Source organism: Homo sapiens, chromosome 13 (assembly GCF_000001405.40).
Source record: "Homo sapiens chromosome 13, GRCh38.p14 Primary Assembly".
NCBI lineage: Eukaryota > Metazoa > Chordata > Mammalia > Primates > Hominidae > Homo > Homo sapiens.
Window position 1 is genome coordinate 75,604,537 of NC_000013.11, and position 24,546 is coordinate 75,629,082.

The 24,546-nt window shown below is 37.7% G+C and overlaps 2 protein-coding genes and 1 long non-coding RNA gene across 12 annotated transcripts in view, besides 1 other annotated feature; 2 read left to right on the forward strand and 1 right to left on the reverse strand.

Moving 5' to 3' along the window:
* UCHL3 (ubiquitin C-terminal hydrolase L3) overlaps nt 1-1,484 on the forward strand; it is a 56,519-nt gene extending 55,035 nt beyond the window's left edge. For all 6 annotated transcript variants that reach the window (XM_011535214.3, NM_001270952.2, XM_011535212.2 and 3 more), the window contains 2 exons: nt 233-291; nt 1,193-1,484. In XM_011535214.3, coding sequence (XP_011533516.1) covers nt 233-291; nt 1,193-1,276 — 143 coding nt within the window. In that variant the 3' untranslated portion in view covers nt 1,277-1,484. The remainder of the gene's footprint in view (nt 1-232; nt 292-1,192) is intronic.
* LMO7-AS1 (LMO7 antisense RNA 1) overlaps nt 164-24,546 on the reverse strand; it is a 31,295-nt gene continuing 6,912 nt past the window's right edge. Inside the window, exons 2-4 of one of the 3 annotated variants that reach the window (NR_120410.1) lie at nt 17,724-17,767; nt 14,234-14,370; nt 164-409 (exon numbers count right to left, since the gene is read on the reverse strand). This is a non-coding gene — a long non-coding RNA (LMO7 antisense RNA 1). The remainder of the gene's footprint in view (nt 410-14,233; nt 14,371-17,723; nt 17,768-24,546) is intronic. The other 2 variants (NR_120411.1, NR_120412.1) reach the window with 2 other exon arrangements.
* LMO7 (LIM domain 7) overlaps nt 15,898-24,546 on the forward strand; it is a 239,437-nt gene continuing 230,788 nt past the window's right edge. For 2 of the 3 annotated variants that reach the window (XM_047430323.1, XM_047430329.1), the window contains exons 1-2: nt 17,228-17,332; nt 18,735-18,784. Coding sequence is in view for 1 of the 3 variants with exons in the window: in NM_005358.5 (NP_005349.3) it covers nt 17,158-17,332; nt 18,735-18,784 (225 nt within the window). In the remaining 2 variants the exon portion in view is untranslated. Of the gene's footprint in view, nt 17,333-18,734; nt 18,785-24,546 lie in introns of all 3 variants that reach the window. The other variant, NM_005358.5, reaches the window with a different exon arrangement.
* Nucleotides 22,067-22,205: a silencer, noted in NCBI's record as "fragment chr13:76200739-76200877 (GRCh37/hg19 assembly coordinates)". NCBI's record gives its function as "represses an EF-1alpha promoter that drives an FKBP-Casp9 reporter gene in an ReSE screen in HepG2 liver carcinoma cells {active_cell/tissue: HepG2}" and the evidence as "EXISTENCE:reporter gene assay evidence [ECO:0000049][PMID:32094911]".

Here is a 24,546-nt window from a genome sequence, read left to right on the forward strand (position 1 = left end):
AATTCCGTTCATGAAGATAATTTAGGCTTTCAAATATGGAAGCAAAGTTCTAACTAATAACCTTTAATAAAAAATATTCATGGTAGCACATTAAAACATTTGTTTTAGGATATATTATTGAAAATGGCTTTTAACTTTTCTTGCCTCACTGGGGGAAGAGGAAAATGGAAGTTGAAAGCACATTATCCTGTAAAAACAGCTAAGCATTCAATTGTTTGTCTGTTTTCCACAGATGGGCGGAAGCCATTTCCAATTAACCATGGTGAAACTAGTGATGAAACTTTATTAGAGGTAACAGTAACACTTGTTGGCCCATCTTCATCAATATTTTGTCATCTTTAAAACATCTCTAAAGGTCACTTGCATAACATTTTCTTTGTATTTGGATACTTCTTTATCCTTGTTCTCTCTAGAAAATCCAAAAAGAAAATTTATATTAGTGTTAAAAATCTACAACAAATAAAGAGGTTTTCACAGCTCTATGAACAAATGTAAAAATTGAAAAGGCAAGAATAGTATTGAAAGACTTGCTCATTATATCCGAGATTTCATCAAATCCAGGATACCATTAATTGTATCTTGATCCTGATTTTAGAGATTTTAAAACATGAATAAATTGTGTGGCTTAGAATCAATGAAACGTGATTTTTAGTTGAAAAGTTTCTTAATAGCATTTTAAGAACACTTACGGCCAGGCGTAGTGGCTCACGGCTATAATCCCAGCACTTTGGGAGGCCGAGGCGGGTGGATCACCTGAGGTCAGGAGTTCGAGACCAGCCTGACCAATATGGTGAAACCCCATCTCTACTAAAAATATAGAAATTAGCTGGGTGTGGTGGTATGTGACTGTAGTCCCAGCTACTAGGGAGGCTGAGATAGGAGATTTGCTTGAACCCGGAAGGCAGAGGTTGCAGTGGGCCGAGATTGCACCACTGCACTCCAGCCTGGGTGACAGAGGGCAAGACTCTGTCTCAAAAAACAAACAAACAAACAAAAACTTACTGTATCTTATACTTTTGTACAAAGCAAATTAGGGCACCCATGTTCACTTTTCTGGTGTTCTTTATTTCTCATTTGGAAAAGGAAGTTTGCAGTGTAAAATTAGTATGAATTAGAAAAATATGAAATGTTTATCATTTGTAAGTAAAACACTTTTACACTGAAAAATCATACTTTTTTTTTTCCTCCATAGGATGCCATAGAAGTTTGCAAGAAGTTTATGGAGCGCGACCCTGATGAACTAAGATTTAATGCGATTGCTCTTTCTGCAGCATAGCTTGTCAATAATGGAAACACCAAAAACTGTATTATTTGCAACTAAATTTTCTCTGCCATACACTAACTCAAAAATTTTGATATTTTCATTAACTTGATGATTAAACTTTATGTGAGTTAAACTTTGCCTTAACCTGTGTTTTATGTTATTTTTGCTCCAGGTTAAAGGTGCAATGCTTTCCTCCTCTTTTCTTGTGAAGGATTTATCTTGTTTGAAAACTAGCAATAGCTTTCTTATTCTTTTTAGATTTTACAGGAAATTTTGTATTGGGATACTAGGCACAATTTCCATCTGCATAACATGAATATATATTATCTATGTTAACATGTTTATTTAGAAAACATTTGTGAAGCGTCTACTTGTAACGAGATGGATGCCATTCTGGGTTCAGAAGTTAAAGCATAGAACGCTGTTGAAAAATGTGATAGTCATGGAGCTTATGTTATTGTGAGAAGAGATAAGTAACAAACACATCAAGATAAATACCAATGATAGATGCTGTGTGGAGAATTAAAATAGGATTTGTGTTAGGGAATGACCGAGCAGCTACTTTAGATTTTGTTGTCAGGGAGGCTTCTGTGAGGAGGTGACTTTAAAGTTGAGATCTGAATGACTAAGCCTGTCATAAAGGTGGTGGGGAAGAGCAGAAGAAGTAATGAATGTGGAGTCCCTAAAGTAGGAACATCTTGCTGTATTGTAGGACCAGGAAGGAGGTTCAAGTGGCCAGAACATAGAAAGTAATAGGGAAAGTAGCAAGAGATGAGGTCAGAAAAGTAGGGGCTTTTTGATACAGGAAAAGGCATTTGGATTCATTGCAAATGTGATGGTAAGCCATTGGAGAATTTTAAGCAGGACAGGAACTTGCTTTGATTTGTAATTTTAAAAGGTCCCTCTGACAACTCCATGGATAATATATTGAGGATGGGAGCAAGAATAGAGGTAGAAAAACCTGTGAGGTGCCCACTGTAGTTGTTCAGTGGGATGATGATGGCTGGGCCTTAAAAATGGTAGATTAGATAGAGGCCAGGTGCAGTGGCTCATGCCTGTAATGCCAACATGTTGAGGCATGCAGCCAGGAATTTGAGACCAACCTGGGTAACAAAGTGAGACCCCATCTCTACAAGAAAAAAAAAAAAAATGCCGGACATGGTGGCATATGCCTGTAAGTCCTAGCTACTCAGGAGGCTGAGGCGGGAAGGATTGCTTGAGCCCAGGAGTTTGAGGCTGCAGTGAGCCATGATTGTATCACTGCTCTCTAGACTGGGTGATGGAGGGAGACCCTGTCTCAAAAATAATAAATAAATTTAGATGGTGGTACATGAGTGAATTTTGGTTGTGCTTTGAAGAAGGAAGGGCTTCAATTGAGTCTTTAAGGATATGTGGAAAGGCAGTAGAAAAGTGAAAGGGCATTTATAGAGTTGGGCCAAAACACAGAGTTGATGTGATGACAGTGTTCTATATCTTTTTGGGAGAGGAATAGCCATTACTCGGGTATATACATTTATAAAAACTCATTGACTTGTACATTAAAAATCTGTACTTCACTGTATATGCATTTTACCTAAAGTAGGGGGAGGTAGTAGTTGGTTACTTGGAATATGCATTTATCATAACTCTGAATTGTACATTTAAAATCTGTACTTTACATACATTTTATCTTAAGAAAAAAAACCAGGGTTGGGTTGAAATGAGTATAATAGGAGAAAAACCAGATTGGTCTAGAATGAAGTTTTTGACCAGTAATTGAATATAGATGTTTACGCACAATTCACTGAGTTAAGAGTAGTAAGGCGTGGCTTTTAGAATGAATTAGATCTTTGTTACTCAAGTGTGGTTGCATCATAGTACCTGGGAGCTTCTTAGAAATGGGAAATTTCAGACCCCACCCCCAAAACCTTTTAACAAGATCCCTGCTTATTCATAAGCAATAAATTAAGCTGGAAGCACTAGATTAGATTAGTTAAGCATTTTTAACAAGATCCCTTCTTATTCATAAGCAATAAATTAAGTTTGGGAAGCACTAGATTAGAAAAATAGACTATAACGAGGAAAATAACTTCGGAAGATATTTAAGCTTACCATTATTCTACAGTGAAAAGGGCATGGGTGAAATGTTGGCAATAGGGATGAAAAAATAATCTGAAACAATTTGATAGACTGTATATGCAGATGATGCTTACCATACCAATAATAACGACCCACATATTCTATTCTTGTTACATTATCTTTTCTGTGTTATCTTAAATATTTTAAACATTCCTAAGCAGTTTTCTGCCTGTTGCCTTGCTGGATTTCTCTTAATTATATGATTTCTTAATAGATCCTAAATCAGTGGCACATTACCTAGAATTTACATAGTTTCTCAAAATATGCTGTGAGAAACACTAACTTTGCAGGACTCTTAATGGGTAAGAAAGATTTGAAGTCAAGTATCTTGAAAATATTGGGTTAAACAATTTTTTTGAAAGTTACAGGTATATTTGGAGGGGGGGCAATTATAGAATGCCTCAGTTTTTTCAAAAAATATTCCATGTATTATGAACAACATTTTCTAAACATTTTAGGGAGCAGCACTTAGAGCTAGCCTTCTTTGGCACACAGTTTAAGGTGGTAGTCCCTTGTGGAACAGACAGCTTGAAAACTTTTCTTGCTTCTCTCTTAGGTTTATGTGTAAACTTCTAGTTCTCAACTCTATTCCCTACAATACTTTGTTTAGTCACTTTCTTAAAACTTGGCACTTGTAGAAAAGATTAATAGTTTACTTTGTGTGAAAACTCGTGGAGACACTAAGTTTGATAAGTTGTGGGTTATTTCTGTATACTGCTGTTAATGACCGTGATAGCGGGGAAAATAGAACTAAAATGAGAACTAGAACTAAATGTTTTTGCTTGGTGGACTTTTGAGAACATCATCTTTCACTGGGTATAATGGTTTGCTTTAAATTACTGAAACAGATGAGCTTTTATAAGCCCCATAATACTTAACCTGAATATTTTCAATGTTCATTTGTGAGTAAAGCAGAAATTACCTGTATTCTATGGCAAGTCGAAGTTTAAGCTATCTTAAATGAAAACTATCTTTGATTCCTTATAAAAATATTTGAACGAATCTGATTTAAATTTATTTTATTCCATCTTTGATTTGTGTGCAAGCCTTATTTGATAAGCTTTATCACTGGGCTGTGTATAACATACAACCTGCTTATTTAATGAAAATAGTAGAGCTTAAAAGGTATTTTTAGACATTAATGTTTGTCTACTACTGTATCTTTCAAAAGAAGCATTATAGGGCTTATGATTCCTCTGTTGGTGCTGGTAAGAATTGGAAAGAGGCATATTTCCATCACTTTTTTAGAACTTTCCTATTCATAGAAATTTATTTCTTTTAGGTAAATCTTATGTAGGTATATATATGTATATATATGTGTGTATGTATATATATGTACACACATTCACACATGCATACCTTGAAAAGGCAAATAACCTTGGTTTAAATCCTCTATCTTATTTAAATCCATGACTGAAGTTAAGTAAAACCACTTAGAAAAGTGTGTAATCAGCTGGGCATGGTGGCTCATGCCTGTAGTCCCAGCACACCTGTAGTCCCAGCACTTTGAGAGGCAGAGGTGGGCGGATTGCTTGAGCCCAGCAGTTTAAGACCAGTCTGGGCAACATGGTGAGACCTCATCTCTACTAAAAATACAAAAATTAGCTGGGTGTGGTGGTGTGCATCTGTGGTCCCAGCTACTTGGGAGGTTGAGGTGGAAGGATTGTTTGAGCCTGGGAGGTGGAGGCTGCAGTGATCCAAGATCACACCACTGCACTTCAGCCCCAGTGACAGTAAGACCCTGTCTCAAAAAACAAAACAAAACAAACAAACAAAAAAAAACTGTAATCATTATATAAGGTATTTAGAACTAATTTAGAGGGATTTATATACACATAAAGTTTAATAGTTAATGTTACCAGATTCCCTGGTAAGATCTTAAAATGAGCTTCCTTGTGTTCTCAACAACATTGCTACTAAAAACGAAGTGTGGAATATACTCTTCAGATAGCAGCAAATGTTTTGTCATTTCCTTTGCTTCTGTTGATTTTCAAAAGTTTACCTCCTTAAAATACATAAACTATTGTGTTGTAGAAGATTCCACATGATGAAGGGCATTAATTTTCTTGTGCCACTGGTGCCAGTTGATCAGACCAACCTAACATGCCTCAGTTTCATGCATATTCTCACTTGTTTTCCTTCTGAATAAAAGTTATTCTAAATCTTTCTCTTGACTTCTTTGTTTAGGGTAGTGGTTCTGAACCTGTCTGTTGCTTCTACCTACTTGATAGGTGAGGGTCCTCAGTACAACATTTTTCCAGAGGCCACAACTAGATATTATATAGGAGGTTATAAAGACAAAGGCTGGATATTACGAGCAATTCCTTATTGTCTAATTGATCAGGAAACCCCTGGTTTAGGGACACTAAATGTATATGACCTATACTGAAAACTACTTTGCAAAATTAATTTAAAATTGCTTAGAAATATATAATGTAGCTCTTATAATCTACAAGGTAGATATGAATATAACTTGAATTATTTAAAATAAGAATCAGCTAAGTGATATGAATGGCACAATTTAATTATTTGGTTCAGAACTATACTCTTTATCAACATGTAAACATAGTTGATATTCAGATAAATAAGTTATGTTTAATAGTGTGTCCTTTAAGAGCTAAAGGATTTCTGTGTCCTGCACATGTTTTATGACTACAAGATGAAAACAAATTGCTTGAGGTTATATTTGTATCTTAAACATGAAAAACTTGAAGCACATGCAAAGGTTGTAAATTAGACTGTTCTTTAAAAAATGTAGTAAAACCTGTCTGATGAAAAATTGCATTGCTTACTGAGAGTTCACCTGTGGGAGAAGATGACAAAAAAAAAAAAAATTGCATCTGAATTTTCCTGTGTGGCTAAGCCAAGAAAGTATTTTTCCACAGGGTTATTTTCTTTATTCTCCCTGAATACTAAGTATTTGAAACCAGAAGTTCCTCCCATCTTCCACCACTACAGAAATAATATACATTTTATCCTAGTGTGCAGGGAATGTATGACAGGGAATGTTCTCTGTGCATATTTTTTGCCATCAAGACCAAAACATGATATTTCATGGTCAGGGTATAACTTAAAAGATGTATTCTTCTGAAGAGTTGACTTTAAAACAAAATGCAAATACCTTAAATATTTTTTATATTAATATGATAGAGACATTAGTTCTTATAGCCACATTCTGGTACTATAATCAGGTACATTGAAGTATTCAAGATAAGAGCACAAAAGTACTGATTTTAAGAACTTTAGAAAACATGGCTTATGGGCAATATAAACTTGAAGAATGTTTAAAGCAAACTATTTACTTCATGGTTTTAGTTTTTACCTTGTTTTTCCCATTTTGGAAGACTAAAGCATGTACGTCAGTTGTTACAAGTATTCCAGTGAAGGCTTTTAGTTTTTGAAGGACTAGTAGGCATCTCCTGTTTTTTTTTTTTTTGTTTGTTTTTAAATGGTGCATGAAATGCCAAGTGAAAGTGACTTCTTTTTTTTTTTAAATCTTTAACTTTTTGTTTTTACGGGTACATAGTAGGTGTATATATTTATGGGGTACATGAGATATTTTGATACAGGCATCCAATTTGGAATCATCACATCAGGGTAAATGGGGTATCTGTCACCTGAAGCATTTATCCTTTGTGTTACAACAGTCCACATATACTCTTAGTTATGTACAATTAAATGATTGACTATAGTCACACTGTTGTGGTATCAAATACTAATTCCTACTTTCTAACTTTTTTTTGTGCCCATTAACCATCCCCACTCCCTCACTACCCTTCCCACCTTCAGGTAACCACCATTCTGTTCTCTATCTCCATGAGTTTAATTGTTTCAATTAATTTTTTAGCTCCCACAAATAAGTGGGAACATAGAATTTTGTCTTTGTGTCTGGCTTATTTCACTTGACAGAATGACTGCCAGTTCTATCCATGTTGTTGCAAATGACAGGATCTCATTCTTTTTATGGCTGAATAACACTCCTTTCTGTATAGTACCATGTTTTCTTTATCCTTTCATCTATTGATGGACACTTAGGTTGCTTTGAAATCTTGGCTGTTATGGATAGTGCTGCGCTAAACAGGCGAGTACAGATAATCTCTTCAATATACTGATTTTCTTTCTTTTGTATGTATACTTAGCAATGGGATTGCTAAATTATAGGGTAGTCCTATTTTTAGTTTTTTGATGAATCTCCAAACTCTTCTCCATAGTGTTTGTACTAATTTACTTTCCCACCAACAGTGTATGAGTGTTCCTTTTTCTCTACATCCTCATTTTTATTGCCTGTCTTTTGGATAAAAGCCATTTTAACTGGGGTGAGATAATGTCTCATCGTAGTTTTGATCTCCATTTCTCTAATGATCAGTGATGTTGCGCACCTTTTCATATTTGCCATTTGTGTGTCTTCTTTTGAGAAATGTCTGTTTAGATCTTTTGCCCAATTTAAAACCAGATTGTTAAATATTTTTTCCGATTGTTTGAGCTCTTTATATATTCTGGTGATTAATCCCTGGTCAGATGGCCAGTTTGCAGATATTTCCCCATTCTCTGTGTTGTCTCTTCACTTTGTTGATGGTTCCTTTGCTATGCAGAAGCTTTTTAACTTGATGTGATTCCATTTGGTCATTTTTGCTTTGGTTGCCTGCGGTTGTGAGGTATTTATTACTCAATAAATCTTTGCCCTGTCTAATGTCCTGGAGTTTCCCCAGTGTTTTCTTGTAGTAGTTTCATAGTTTAGGGTCTTAGATTTGTCTCTCTCTTTTTTATTTTTGAGACAGAGTCTTGATCTGCCCAGGCTGTAGTGCAATGGTGCTATCTTGGCTCACTGAAACCTCTGCCTCCCAGGTTCAAGCGATCCTCCCACCTCAGCCTCCTGAGTAGCTGGGATTACAGGTCCACGCCGCCATGCCCGGCTAATTTTTGTATGTTTAGTAGAGACAGGTTTTTTGCCATGTTGGCCAGGCTGGTCTTGAACTCCTGGCCTCAAGTGATCTGCCCTCTTCGGCCTCCCAGGGTGCTGGGATTACAGATGTGAGCCACCACACCCAGCCAGATTTAAGTCATTAATTCATTTTGTTTGAATTTTCTATATAGTGAGAAATAGGGGTCTAGTTTCATTCTTCTGCTTTGGATATCCAGTTTTCCCAGCACCATTTACTTAAGATACTGTCCTTTCCTCAATGTATGTTCTTGGCACTTTTGTCAAAAATGAGTTCACTGAAGATGTGCGGATTTGTTTCTGGGTTCTCTATTCTGTTCCATTGGTCTACGTATCTGTTTTTATGACAGTACTCTGCTCTTTTGATTCTATAGCTCTGTAGTATAATTTGAAGTCAGGTACTGTGATTCCTCCAGTTTTGTTCTTTTTGCTCAGGATAGCTATTCTGGGTCCTTTGTGGTTCCATATACATTTTAGGATTTTTTTTTTCTATTTCTGTGAAGAATGTAATTCCTATCTTGATAGAGATTACATTGAACCTGCAGGCTGCTTTGGGTAGTATGAACATTTTAACAATATTGATGCATCCAATCCATGAACATGGAATATTTTTCCATAGTTTGGTGTCCTCTTCAATTCCTTTCATCAGTGTTTAATTTTCATTGTAGAGATCTTTATTTGCTTAAGTTAATTCCTAGGTATTTAATTTTATTAGGAGCTATTGTAAATGGGATTACTTTTTTATTTCTTTTTTATATTGTTCACTGTTGGCATATAGAAATGCTACTGACTTTTGTGTGTTGATTTTGTATCCTGCAACTTTACTGAATTTATCAGTTCTAATAGTATTGTTATGGAATCTTTAGATTTTTCCAAATATAAGATTGTATCATCTACAAATAAGGAAAATTTGATTTCTTCCTTTCCAGTTTGGATGCCATTTATATCTTACCTGATTGCTGTAGCTAGGACTTTCAGTACTATATTGAATAACAGTGGTGAAAGTGGACATCCTTGTCATGTTCCAGTTCTTAGAGGAAAGGCTTTCAGTTTTTCTCCATCCAGTATGATACTAGCTGTGAGTCTGTTGTATATGGTTTTTATTATGTTGAGGTGCATTCCTTCTATACTCAGTTTTTAAAGATTTTTTTAATCATGAAAGGATGTTGAATTTTATCAAATACTTTTATAGCATCAATTGAAATAATCATATGTTTTCTTCTTCATTCTTTTGATATGATTTATCACATTGATTGATTTGTATATGTGGAACCATCCTTGCATCTTTGGGATAAATCCCACCTGGTGATGATGAAAGAACTTTTTAATGGGTTGTCAAATGTGATTTGCTAGTATTTTGTTCAAGATTTTTACATGAATGTTCATCAGGGATATTGGCCTGTAGTTTTCTTTCTTTCTTTTTTTTTTTTTTTTTGTCTGGTTTTGGTATCAGGGTATTACTGGCCTGGTAGAAAGAGTTTGGAATTATTCCCACCTCCCCTTATTGTTGGAATAGATTGAATAGGATTGATACTAGTTTTTCTCTAAATATTTGGGAAAATTCAGCAATGAAGCCACCAGGTACTGGGCATTTCTTTGGTGGGAGACATTTCATTACAGCTTTAATCTCATTACTTGTAATTGGTCTGTTTGGATTTTGGATTACTTCATGATTCAATCTTATTACGTTGTATGTGTCTAGGAATTTACCAATTTCTTCTATGTTTTCCAATTTATTGGCATATAGTTGCTGATAGTAACCTCTAATGGTCCTTTGAATTTCTGGGGTATTGGTTGTAATATCTCCTTTTTCATATCTGTCTTTATTTGAGTCTTCTCTTTTTTTATGCAAGTCTGGCTAAAGGTTTGTCAATTTTATCTTTTCAAAAAACCGATTTTGTGTATCATTGATCTTTTTTTATTTGTTTCAGATACATTTATTTCTGCTCCAAACTTTATTATTTCTTCTAATTTTGGGTTCAGTTTGCCCTTGCTTTTCTAGTTCTTTAAGAATAGTTGTTAGATTGTTTATTTGAAGTTCTTCTGCTTTTCTGATGTAGGCACTTAGAGCTATACGCTTTCCTCTTAGTACTGCTTTTGGTATGTTGTGTTTCCATTATCATTGGTTTCAGTTTTTCAATTTCCTTCTTAATTTCTTCATTGACCCACTAGTCATTCAAGAACACACTTTAATTTCCATGTGTTTGTATAATTTCCAAAATTCCTCTTGTTACTGATTTCTAGTTTTATTTTATGGTGGTCAGAGAAGATACTTGATATTATTTCATTTTTTAAAATGTTTTAAGACAAACGGTCTATCCTTGAGAATGATCTATGTGCTGAGGAGAAGAATGTGTATACTATAGCTGTTGGATGAAATATTCTGTAAATATCTGTTAAGTTCATTTGGTCTGCAGAGCCCATTAAATCTGATGTTTCTTTGTTGATTTTCTGTCTGGATGATCTGTTCAGTGCTAAAAGAGGGGTATTGTGGTCTCCGGCTATTATTGTGTTAGGGTCTAAATATTTGCTTTGTAAATCTGGGTGCTCCAGTGTTGCATGCATAAATATTTACAATTGTTATATCCTCTTGCTAAATTGACTCCTTTGCTGTTAAATAATGACCTCCTTGTTTCTTTTTATCATTTCTGTCTTGAAAGCTATTTTGTCTAATATAAGTGTAGGTACTCCTGATCTTTCTTGGTTTCTATTTGCCTGGAATATCTTTTTCCATCCCTTTATATTTAGTCTGTGTGTGTCTTTATATGTGAAGTGTGTTTCTTTTAGGCAACAGATTGTTGGGTCTTATTTTTTATCCATTCACCCACTCTGTGTCTTTTGATTGGAGAGTGTAGTCCATTTACACTCAATATTGTTATTGATAAGTAAGGACTCACACCTCCCATTTTATTATTTGTTTTCTGGTTGTTTTGTGGTCTTGTGTTCCTTCTTTCCCTCCTTCCTTCTTTTTAGTGAAAATTATTTTCTCTGGTGGTATGTTTTAGTTTCTTGCTTTTTATGTTTTTCTGTATCCATTGTATGTTTTTTGGTTTGAGATTACAAGCCATGAGGCTTGCAAATACTATCTTATAACTCATTATTTTAAACAGATAACAACTTAACACTCATTGCGTAAACAAGCTAGCAAATAAGCAAAGAGAAAACTAATAAAAATTCTACACTTTTTTCTGCTTGATCAATTCTGCTATTATGAGAATGTATTCTTCAGTATGTTAGTTGCATTTTCCCACTACAGAACTTCTTTCTTTTTTTTTTTTTTTTTAGATGGAATTTTGCTTTTTCACCCAGGCTGGAGTACAGTGTCACGATCTCAGCTCACTGTAACTTCCGCCTTTTGGTTTCAAGTGATTCTCCTGCCTCAGCCTCCTGAGTAGCTGGGATTACAGGCACCCACCACCATGCCCAGCTAATTTTTATATTTTTAGTAGAGACGGGGTTTCACCATGTTGGCCAGGCTGGTCTCGTACTCCTGACCTGGTGATCCGCCCACCTCACCCTCCCAAAGTGCTGGGATTACAGGCATGAGCCACTGTGCCCAGCCTGTTTTTTTTTTTTTCCCCAGATGGAATCTCACTTTGTCACCCAAGCTGGAGTGCAGTGGGGTGATCTCGGCTCACTGCAACCTCTGCCTCCTGGGTTCAAGCGATTCTTCTGCCTCAGCCTCCCGAGTAGCTGGTATTATAGGCATGCACCACCACGCCTGGCTAATTTCTGTATTTTTAGTAGACACAGGGTTTCACCATGTTGGCCAGGCTGGTCTCAAACTCCTGACCTCAAGCGATCTGCCTGCCTCAGCCTCTCAAAGTGCTGGGATTACAGGTGTGAGCCACCGCACCTGGCCCCACTCCAGAATTTCTGCTTGATTCTTTTTAATTATTTCAATTTCCTTGTTAAATTTATCTGATAGGATTCTGAATTCCTTCTGTGTGTTATCTTGAATTTCTTTGAGTTTCCTTAAAACGGCTATTTTGAATTCTCTATCTGAAAGGTCACATATCTCAGTCCTTCCAGGCTTGGTCCCTGGTGCCTCATTTGGTTTAGTGAAGTCATGTTTTCCTGGATTCTCTTGATGCTTGTGGATGTTCATTGGTGTCTGAGCATTGAAGAGTTAGGTATTCGTTGTAGTGTTCAGAGTCTGTGCTTGTTTTTGCCCACCTTTCTTGGAAAGGCTTTCCAGGTATTTGAAGGGACTTGGGTGTTGTGATCTAAGTGGTCACTGCAACCATATCTGCATTAGCCTAGTAACACTGTGGTTCTTGCACACTCATAGAGGTACCACCTTGGTGGTTTTGGATAAGATCTGGAAGACTTCTCTGGATTACTGGGCAGAGACTCTTGTTCTCTTTCCTTACTCTCTCCCAAACAAATGGCCTTCCCCTGCCTCTCTGTTTTGAGCTGCCTGGAGCTGGGAGATGGGTAACACAAGAACACCTGTGGCTACCACCACTGGGACTGTGCTGGGTCAGACCTGAAACCAATACAGCACTGGGTCTTGCCCCAGGCCTGGTGTAACTGCTACCTGGCTACCACCTATGTTTGCTTAAGGCCCTAGGGCTCTACAATCAACAGGTGGCAAAGCCATCCAGGTTGTGTCCTTCCGTTCATGTTAGTGAGTGCCCCTGGGCACTGGGTGGATCCAGAGATGCCATCTGGGGACCAGGGCATGGAGTTGGAAATCTTAAAATCCACCTGGTGCTTTATTCTTCTGTGGCTTAGCTGGCACAAAAAACACAAGACAAAGTTCTTCCCACACTTTCCTCCCCTTTTTATAGGCAGGGGAGTCTCTCTCTGTGGCCACCACCACCCCAAGCCTATAGTGAGTACTGCCTGGCTACCACTGATGTTCACTGAAGCCCTAGGGTCTCTTCAGTCAGCTTGTGGTTGATTGCTGCCAGGCCTGGGACTTATCCTTCAGGGCAGTGAGCTCCTCTCTGGCCCAGGTCAGGTCCAGAAATGCTGTCCAAGAGCTAAGGCCTAGAATCAGGGACCACAAGAGCCCTCTTGGTGCTCCATCCCACTATGGTTGAGCGGTACCTAAACTACCCCTTTTACTCTTCCCTCTGTTTTTCTGAAGCAGGAGTCTCTCCTCATACCACCATAGCTGGGAGTGTGCTGGGTCACACCTGAAGCCAGCACATCTCAGAGTCTCACTCAAAGCCCATGGCATGTACTACCTGTCTACTGCTGCTGATTATTCAGGGCCCAAGGGCTTTTAAGTCTTCCCTTCAAGGCAACAGTATCCTTTCTGGCCCAGCACGTGTCTAGAAATGTCATCTGGGAGCTAGCTTCTTGCATGGGGGTCTCATGACTCCGCCTTGTGCACTATCCTACTGTGGCTGAGCTGGTTTCCAAGTTGTAAGACAAAGTCCTCTACTCTTCCCTTTCCTCAAGTGGAAGGAAGGAGTTTTTCAGAGCTGTGAGCTATGCTCCCTGGGCTTGGAGGAGGGGTGCTGCAAACCCTCCTTTGGCTGCTCTGGTTGATGTCCCCCACTAGGTCATGTGCCCCCGAAGTCCAGGCTTTGATGCCTGGATCTCCTTTCAAGTTTATTTAGGATTCCAGAGCAGTTGAGCCTGCACTGGCAAAGCTTGCCAGAACTCAAGTTCCAGCCACTGAGATGGATGAATTCACTCTGGCTAGGGCTGGTCTAAATGCTCCCTCTGTGGGCATTGGCTGAGTTCTGTCAAGTGTTGCTTTCCACTGTGACAGGGCAGCACTGAGTTTCAATGCAAAGTCCCATAATCACTCTACTCTCCCTCCCCCAAGCATACAGATTCACTGCTGCTGGGGAATAGGGGAAGGATGGTGTCAGCAATTCAAGACTGTTTTTTCTACCCTCTTCAGTGCCTCTTGCAGTGATTTTAAGTTAAAACAATATACTGTAATTGCTCACCTGATTTTTGGTTCTTATGAAGGTGCTTTTTTGTGTAGATAGTTCTTAAATTTGGTGTTCCTGTGGGGAGGATGATTGGTAGAGGCTTTTATTTGGCCATCTTACTTCTCCAGATCTCTTGAAAGTGACTTCTTTAGCTAAATTAATCAAACATCAGAGAGAAAATGTTTAGAGCAACTTATTCATATGTATTATACATTTTAGAGTTGATGCCTATGTAGATACTGGGGATTTATTGAGTGTATTAGGCCATTCTTGCATTGCTATAAAGAAACACCTGAGACTGGGTGATTTGTAAGGGAAAGAGGTTTAACTGGCTAATGGTTCTGCAGATTCTACAGCTTCTGCAGGCTCTATAGCAATGCTTAGAGGCTTCTAGGGAGGCCTCAGGAAGCTTACAATCATGGCAAAAGGTGAAGAGGGAGCAGGCACATCACATGGTGAAAGCAGGAGCAAGAGAGAGGGTGAGGGGGTGGTACCACACAATTTTAAACAACCAGATCTTGCAACAGCTCACACTTTTGGTGCAAGGACAGCACCAAGAGGATGGTGCTATGCCATTTACGAGGGATCTGTCCCCATGATCCAAACATTTCCCACCAGGCCCCACCTCCAACATTGGGAATTACATTTTAACATGAGATTTGGGCAGAGACAAATATCCAAACTATATCATTGAGCAACCAACCTGGTTTTAATATGAAACATAGTTGTTCTCAAACTTTTTAACATCAGGAGCCCCTTATACTCTAAAAATTATTGAGCAGCTTAGAGAGTTGTGGATCTCTATCTATTAGAAATTAAAATAACTTTTAGGAATATTTGTTCATTTAAAATGAAAAACAAGCTTATCATATGTTGACATAAATAACATTTTTATAAAAATATTTTCTTTTTTTTTTTTTGAGACGGAGTTTCGCTCTGTTGCCCGGGCTGGAGTGCAGTGGTGTGATATCGGCTCACTGCAAGCTCCGCCTCCCGGGTTCACGCCATTCTCCTGCCTAACCTCCTGAGTAGCTGGGACTACAGGCGCCCTCCACCACGCCTGGCTAATTTTTTGTATTTTTAGCAGAGACAGGGTTTCACCGTGTTAGCCAGGATGGTCTCGATCTCCCGACCTCGTGATCCGCCCGCCTCAGCCTCCCAAAGTGCTGGGATTACAGGCATGAGCCACCGCGCCCGGCCCCAAAAATATTTTCTTAATAAAGTTAGTGAGAAAAGTGGCACTGTTATATTTTTGCAAAATCTCTTCAATATCTGGCTTAAGGAGGACAGCTGTGCTCTCTTATTGATAATGAATAAAGAGTGCTTCCCAGAATTGACAATTCAAGACATCAGTGGTGATCTATATCAAAATGATTTTGAGGATAGTAATTTGAGGACAAGGACCATGTCTTTTGTATACCATTTTATCCTCAGAGTCTAATACAGTTCTTGGCACATAGAAACGGCCAGATATTTGGTAGGTGACTAAACTATACTGCAGTGTGTTGAGAAGTGAACAGAAGATATGGATTCAGGAAGTATAGAAACCTCCTTCATGACACTTGGTTGAGAAAAGAAGAGAAATGAGGGGAATGAGGGTGCAGAATCAGCAGAGGACTTTTAAAAATAATGTTTTCATATGAGGAAAAAAATAAAAACAAATAGAAATTAAGAAAACAGGAAAGAAGTGGAATAATTAGGAACCTAGGGTGGGGTAGGGTAGCAGGACATTTCAAACATTAATGAGCATATGAGATTCCAGGTCTTGTTAAAATGCAAATTCTGATTCAGCTGGTAGGTGAGGTCTGAGATTGTGCATTTCTAACAAGCACTCAGATAATCTTAAGGCTGTTGGCCCCAGGGTCACACTTATAGTGATTTTCTAGAACCCAGTTGGGGAAGTGAATCTTGGGCAGGAGAAATACACACCTCTTGCATTGAGTTTGGAGATCTCATCTGATATAACTTTTTAAGAAAGAAAAATAATTTTCCAAATATCCAATTGATAAGCTTTCCCACTAAGTGGCTTTCCCACTAAGTGGCTGCGTTATGAAAATTGCTTCACTTTGAAACTTCTGGTCTTGGTAATATAGAATTTCTGTGTTCTCACAGTGCTTGATTGAGAATATGATATTGAGATTATGGCATAAAATATAGTGGCTGTACAAAAAAAAATACATTATTAGGATCTCTAACAATTATGTAAAAGTCATTGCTTCATGGGTAGAGCTCAAACTTTGGTGTGAGACCTGGTTTTATTCTTGGCACTTACTCTGAGTTGTCTTAGGCAAATTAATACCTTAAGCAAAAATATTCTCATGTACATTTTACATGAGAATTATAAATGAAGTACATAAAGTCCAGCAGTCACAAATGTTATCTATTATTACCATCGTCCTAAGACTGCAATCAGCTATAGTGAAAGTAGTCTCAAAGATTGTTTCATAAATCATCAGATTCACCTAATTTTCTAAAGAATTTAAATAAGGAGATGGAATGAATAGATTGCATTTTGTTTCCATGCACAGGGGAACTGTGCATATTTCTTCTGTGACTCGGAAATGGTTTAACTTTTAAAAATCCCAAAATAGCTGAAGTTAGCAGACATGCAATTTACCAAGGATGATTGGAATTTTTATCTTTCCTGTAATAATACTATACCCAAGCACACTGCTCATGAGGAAAACATTTTTATGTGAATCTTTTACTCTTGGGGGCAAAGAATGCTGTTTTTCTTTTTGATAACTATGTTTATAGAATCTAAATCACCCTGAGCAATTATTTCAACATCTAAAGTTATTATTACCATTCATGTTTCATTTATAGCTATTTGAATTTTGATGAATTTCAATATGGTGCTACAGTGATAGGGCAAGTGCAAATAAGTTCAATATATGGGTACGGTCTAAAGCTATTTTAATTTTTTTATTACAACTGCTATGAAGAAAATTAGGATATGCCATATTTTCACGTTTTACAGTTGGATGTCCTATGATGTTCTCTTCCAGAGAACAGAGCTCGGAGCTCTGGAAATTTGGAGGCAACTGATATGTGCTCATGTCTGCATCTGTGTGGGTTGGCTGTATCTCAGGGACAGAGTCTGCAGCAAAAAAGGTAATAATAGTTCCTTGAATACTTTTATATTATTACTTTGAAAGAACTAAGGCAGAGCATCTCCATTTGGCTTTTCTTTAGGAACACATGTAGGTGGAAAAGAGGTCAGTAGGAAGGCAAGAAGTAAATACTGCAACTGAGATAAAATTAAGTCAACTTTGTAGACTATCCCCGGGCATTTTCTTGTTTTTTCTCTTTTTTCTTTTAAAATTTTTGTGGGTACTTTGTAGGTGCATATATGTATGGGGTACATGAGATACTATGATACAGGCACGGAATACATAGTAATCACATCATGGAAAATGGGGTATTCATCCCCCTCCCAGGCATTTTCAACCTGAACTTTTGTTGTCAGTAACCACAAGACTGGAAATTTTTAACTCCTTCTTACCAATTTTGTAATCATTGTTGATCTCTTGCACTGGTAGAATATGCCTTGGTAGGAGAAAATATTAAAACAGTATAAGACATGTTGTAGTAAATATTATAACAGCATAAGACATACAAGGTGGTAAGTGCATGCAGAAACATCAACTGAGGTACTCAAAGCCACTTTAGGTTTCTGTGTCCACTATTATTAAGTCCTGCTGGAATTTACTTTGAAAAGTCTTTTCTCATTCTTTTTCTAAATCTTGTAATTGTCTGTAAGTACTACCTTCATAATTAAAATGTTTCTACTCTGATAATGCCTTTAAGTACTTTAAGAACTATAAGTCTAGAGCTCTTTCAGGGGATCAAACCAGAAATGGATGCTTAGGGCAGGTGTCACACTGATTTACGATCACTCTCCTAACCTGACATTAGATATATTCAATAGATCTGGCAGTAAGTGTAGTGCATACTAATGGGTCTTGATTTTCAACAATTTTATGCATAAGAAGATTTTATTGTGTTTTATTGCGTTGGCTGAATATATCAGGATACCAACTGAAAGCAGATCTTAAAGTTAATAACTCCAGCTTTTTTTGGTTTAGTATTCGATAAACTTCTCTTAGGCCACTAGGGCTTAATGAACAAAATACCTCTTTGGCAAAGAATTTTGCAGGCACAAAATGTTACTATAAAATTATTTTGTTGAAGAAACTAAAATGAAAGACTAATTTGATATTGCAGTTATTTAAAAAATGATATGAAATTCCTGCAAACCACTAGAAAAGCAAAAATAATTCTAAGTGCCTCTAAAATTTAAACTTAAAATATTGTTACTATTTTATTGGGCATATAATTGTGTTTGACTCTTTTGGGGACCAGCATTTATTTATTTTGGCATCTCTACTAAATAGTATCATGCTTTGGAATTTCAGTAAAATATTTGTTGTTGCTCAATAAATATTTGTTGATTACTTTTCATTTTTTTTCTGTATTGGTTTTTTAACTTTCCTAATCATGACTTTTTACACAGATATAATTTTGAGGACTGAACAAAATTCAGGAAGGACTATTCTCATTAAGGTAATATTTTTCTGTATTTTCTAAGGCAGAATCAGAAAGGCCAAAGCATTTTTTTCTTTTTGATACGGAGTCTTGCTCTGTTGCCCAGGGTGGAGTGCAGTGGTGCCATCTAGGGTCACTGCAACCTCTGCCTCCCGGGTTCAAGTGATTCTCGTGTCTCAGCCTCCCGAGTAGCTGGGATTACAGGTGTATGCCACCATACCAGGCAAGTTTTTGTACTTTTGTAGAGACAGGGTTTCTCCATATTGGCTAGGCTGGTTTGGAACTCATGACCTCAAGTTATCCACCCACTTCAGCCTCCCAAAGTGCTGGGATTACAGGCATGAGCCACTGTGCCTGACCAAGCATTAAAAAAAAAAAAATAATTAAATTGGTAATTTATTTTAGGTATCATCAAGTAAAATTTTTCTTTCAAAACAATGAAAACTTTGGCTGATGAAATTTACCAATTTAGATTTGTTTTCAGAAATGTTACGGGGAGATAAAAATTACTGAAATCTGACTGTGGTGTAACTAGGAAGGTGATGTGATGGGTAATGCTCTTTTTCCCAGCCTGTTCTACTAGTGGGAGAATACAATCAGTTTATAATGCATAATAACCAGGTGTCTTTTGGGTATTCCTAAATATTCAACCTTTTGGAGTTACACCTCCTATAATTTTCAAATAGAATGCTTTGAATGACGATCCCAGTCTTCCTCCAGTATCTCCATGGATTATCAAGAGTGTACCTCCAGCCATCTCTGCTTCAATGGTTTGCTTCTGCTGAATTCTCAATTTCTATTTCAGTCTCCTCATCTATGACAGACAGTGATCCTTCCCAGGTAGCACTTTGCCTCTGGTTGGGTGTTGGCATACCCTCTAGGTGCCATAAAGTAGAGCTATGTATCCACCTTTACTGAAGGTTTCCACACTTCAGGAGAAAATTAGAATACAGCAATGCTCAGCACTACTGTAAACCTATATTTTGAATATGACTATTTCCAAAATCTAAGGCAAAAACATTAGATGCTTTGCAGCTTTATCCAGCTTCCTAGCCTCTCTGCTGTATGTCAAGGTCCACCTTCTCTCATTTGTAGGAGAGAGCACCTTTCATAAAAGTTTCATAGGGCCAATTTCCCCCTTACTTTAAGAATATTTTACTCACTACCTGAAGGACTTGTTTTTACTATGGAACTTATTAGAACTTCATGTTCAGAGAAACCCCACCTGTATTAGTCTGTTTTCAAGCTGCTGATAAAGACATACCTGAGACTGGGCAATTTATAAAAGAAAGAGGTTTAATGGACTTACAGTGCCACGTGGCTGGGGAGGCCTCACAATCATGGTGGAAGGTGAAAGATGTGTCTCACATGGCATCAGACAAGAGAAGAGAGCTTGTGCAGGAAACTCCCGTTTTTAAAACCATCATATCTTGTGAGACTTACTATCACGGGAACAGCACAAGAAAGACCCACTCCCATGATTCAATTACCTCCCACCAGGTTCCTCCCATGACACATGGGAATTGTGGGAGTTACCATTCAAGATGAGATTTGGGTGGAGACACAGCAAAACCATATCAACACTCTTAGACACAAGGATCCACACAGGATTACATATTCTAGAGTCTGAGTTGTAGTAGAAGTGATGGGAACAGTGGTGAATATCTATAGCACAATATAGGATGGTGGTCGGCATGAGAAATGCTGCCTGTGTTGAGGTTTCTCAGCCAGTAGGAAGTAATCATGGCCTTTTTTATTCTTCCTGATTTCTTTTGGTCTTCTCTGAGTACCTTTTGAATAAAACACATTCACACAAGATCTCCCAAGGTCAAACAGTTATTCTCAAGGATTGGACAGTCTAAACACATAATAAAGGACAGAGACATTTCTCTAAGGCAAATATGTCTAGCAAAGAATTTCTCTTTTCCACAGTAAATAGCCTTTTATATTTATGCAGTATTATTTCTGGCCTTTCTTCTCATATTCTTCTGATTATCTAGACCATGCCCAGAGACCTATCTCCGCAGAAGTCAAATAGAGACTATGACAGCACTTCTTTAAATAATAGAGGCTGATAGCCCTTTGAGTATGTAAAGGTCCAGCAGAAGATGCAAGTGTGTGTGCATGTGTGTGTGTGTGTGTGTGTGTGTGTGCATGTGCATGTGTGTGTGTGGTTTTGATTCATATTAAAGTCTTAGGCAGGGCTTCCTCTCCAGTTGATTTTCTCAGTAAGCATAAATGAAGCTGTAGATAGATGTCTTCTCCCTCTGTCCAGACAAAGCCTTAGGGTCACAGATTTGCTTTTTTGGAATTTCAGTTACGTGAGTTTGGAGTAGTTTGGCTTCACTGGTCTATTTCTGTCCACGAAGACCAAAGAGATTTATAGTAGAGTCATGGATAGAACATTCCTAGTCCAAGAGCTTGGGAGAGACTTTGATGGTTTACTTTAGAGATCATCTGGTGTTGTTCATGATCCTTATGAGCATTCTGAACCGATCTTCATGTTCAGGGAAACTCCATTACCTTGTTTCATAGGGAATCTTCTGATGGAGCTGGCTCCAAGGCTTCCCTTTTCTCCTATAATTATTTTCAGCTCTTGAGGAAGTACCAGACCTGTCTTGGTACACACGAAGATTTCAAGGCCATGCTGAAGCTGTGAAGACCAGCCAAGAACTTCATTTCATAGCTGTTTGTAAGGTTTCTTCACATTGTGTAGAGGTGAGGGTGAGGTTCGCTTAAGATCACTGGGCTCTTACAATGGAGGCCCAGATTAACAATAATGGTAAATCTAGGAATACAACTTGGTCTCTTATCTCCAGGCCAGTCAGTCCTGTACTCTTTAATCCTTTCCTTTAAAAAATGTTTTTGAAAATTTTATTGTGGTAAACATGAGATCTACTGTATTAGTCCGTTTTCACACTGCTGATAAAGACATACCCGAGACTGGGAAGAAAAAGACGTTTAATGGGACTTATAGTTCCACATGGCTGGGGAGGTCTCAGAATCATGGTGGGAGGTGAAAGGCACTCCTTACATGGTGGCAGCAAGAGAAAATGAGGAAGAAGCAAAAGCAGAAACCCCTGATAAACCCATCAGATCTCGTGAGACTTATTCACTATGACGAGAAAAGCAGGGGAAAAACCGGCCCACATGATTCAATTACCTCCCCCTGGGTCCCTCCCAGAACACATGGGAATTCTGGGAGATACAATTGAAATTGAGATTTGGGTGGGGACACAGCCAAACCATATTGTCTACCCTCTTAACATATATATTATATATATATATATAAATTTTTTTGAGACAGGGTCTCACTCTGTCACCCAGGCTGGAGTGCAATGGCACAATCTCAGCTCACTGTGACATCTACCTCCCAGGTTCAAGCCATCCTCTCACCTCAGCCTTCCAGGTAGCTTGGACCAGAGTTGCACGTCACCACACCTGGCTAATTTTTGTATTTTTTTGTAGAGACGAAGTTTCGCCATGTTGCCCAGGCTGGTCTCGGACTCCCAAGCTCAAGCAATCCGCCCACCCCAGCCTCTCAAAGTGCTGGGATTACAGGCATGAGCCACCGCACTCAGCCAATATATTTTTAAGTGTACGATACATTATTGTTGACCATAGGTATTATTCTTTCCTTTTTGAAGCTAAAATATTACTGCTATCCACCTTGTAGTCATAGAATAGGGGAATGAAGGGGTTATTATAAAAATTGTAGTTTAAACTTCTATAGGAAGTATAAATTTCCTCTAATGTATGGGTTGTTTCCTCTCTGAGTCCAATTTCAGAATGTAAACAAGAATTGCAATTACAATTCTAAAGTACAGATGGTCCTCCAACTTACGATTTTTTGACTACGATGATGCAAAAGAGATGCACATTTAGCCAAAACCGTACTTAAGAGTATCCATACAACCATTCTTTCACTTTCAGTACAGTAGTCAATAAATTACATAAGATATTCAACAACTTATTATAAAATAGGCTTTGCATTAGATGATTTTGCCCAACTGTAGGCTAATGTATGTGTTGTGAGGATGTTTAAGGAGGCTAGACTAAGCTATAATGTTTGGTAGGTTAAATACTTAACAATATTTTCAACTTATAATGGGTTTATCAAAAGTAACCCCATCATAAGTTGAGGAGTATCTGTATTAATAATATAGTGCATACTGTGCTTAAATATTTTTCCCTGCCTTTTTAGCAAAACAATTTGAATTGATAGTAAGGTTATTTCTCTTACCAAATAAAGTTAATGAGAGATCAGGTGGAAATTCTTTACCAAAACATAAACAAACACACACACACACACAAATAAATGTATTTTAGGGAAAACTGGACTTGACTATTTTTATCTTTGATTATCCTTACTAAAGATATCCTACGGGAAACACAGACTTTATTTTTTTTTCGTTTCATGGGCTTCAGGAAGAGAAGCTTAGTAAACATACATTCTCTCCTTCCTCTTTCCCAGAAGCTGCAATAGTTTATTTTAAAGCTAATTCTAGGGTAGGTCCTTTTGATCTCACTGCTATCACTTAGAGAATTATAATGTGGTTTTGCAATTCTAGCTAGAATGGGGGACCTTTAAAAAAGGTCTTGGATTTATGTTAAATGATTTTAGTTCAATGATAGGAAACCCCTCTACTTGTTAAAAAAAAAAAACACAAAAACCTCAAAAAAAGCTCTTAAGATCTTTATAGTAGGAAGAAAACAACCAACTGCTTTTCAAATTATGGGGTTGGTCCCATGTTTTGAAAGTTACCATCTCAGTTGATCTCTTAATGAGATGTCTGTGTACATGAGACAAAGGTCGATAAGAACTTGAGGGCTTCTCATCTATCCCTTCTCAGTTAACAATCCAGTAGCTTCAGAAGACAAATTTAGGACCCTTGCCTTTGTCCACTGGGTGAAGCATTCATCATCCTAAAGCTGCACTGGAAACTTCCTGGAGGTTTGTCTTCTTTTTGGAGGAATGTTCTGATATGGGATTCACTTTGTTTTTCTCCTTTTGCTTTCTGGTGCATACATGTTTTCCCTCTTATGTTCATTTCTTAATCATTATCTGTAACATTTTGGCTTCCTTTTCCTCTGGCTTTGATTTCCAAGTATGGAATTGAACCTTCTTGTCTGAATACCATTATGTAAGTACTGACAACATCACATCTTTTTATTACTGACACTGAAGGATGTATTTTTTGTGGGTAGAAATGGGGTAGAGATGGGATAGGTATAATTCTTATTAAACTTATTTTTAATCTACCTTCTAGTCCTTCTTTGTGTTAACTAAGCTGTCATATAAGCATGAGAAATACACACATAATCCATATATTGGTTATTTCTGAACTTATAAGGGCAGACGCTTTTTTGAATCATAACCAATCAAAGTACAAAATTCAGTTCTTTTATTAGAAGAACTCCCAGTATATCTGTTTCTTCTTTCAATTATTTCCAGCCAACAGGACCTCTTCTCTTATAATCTTTGTCCACACACCATTCAGCCCCATCCCTTCTTCCTTTACAACACAGAGTAGCCTTTTTCTGCCCAATTCATCCTAACTCCTCTCCACCCTACCCCACCACTTGCTGCAAGAAACTTGGGCCTAAGGTTCACTTTTACTGTACAAAAGCATTTTCTAACAAAGCCAGTTTCTTTGTGTAGAACAGTTGTCCTCCACAGGGGCTGATTTGCCCCCAGGGGACGTCTGGCGGTGTCTGGAAACGTTTTTGGTTATTACTTCTACTACAGGGAAACTGCTGGCTTCTAGTGGGTAGGGGCC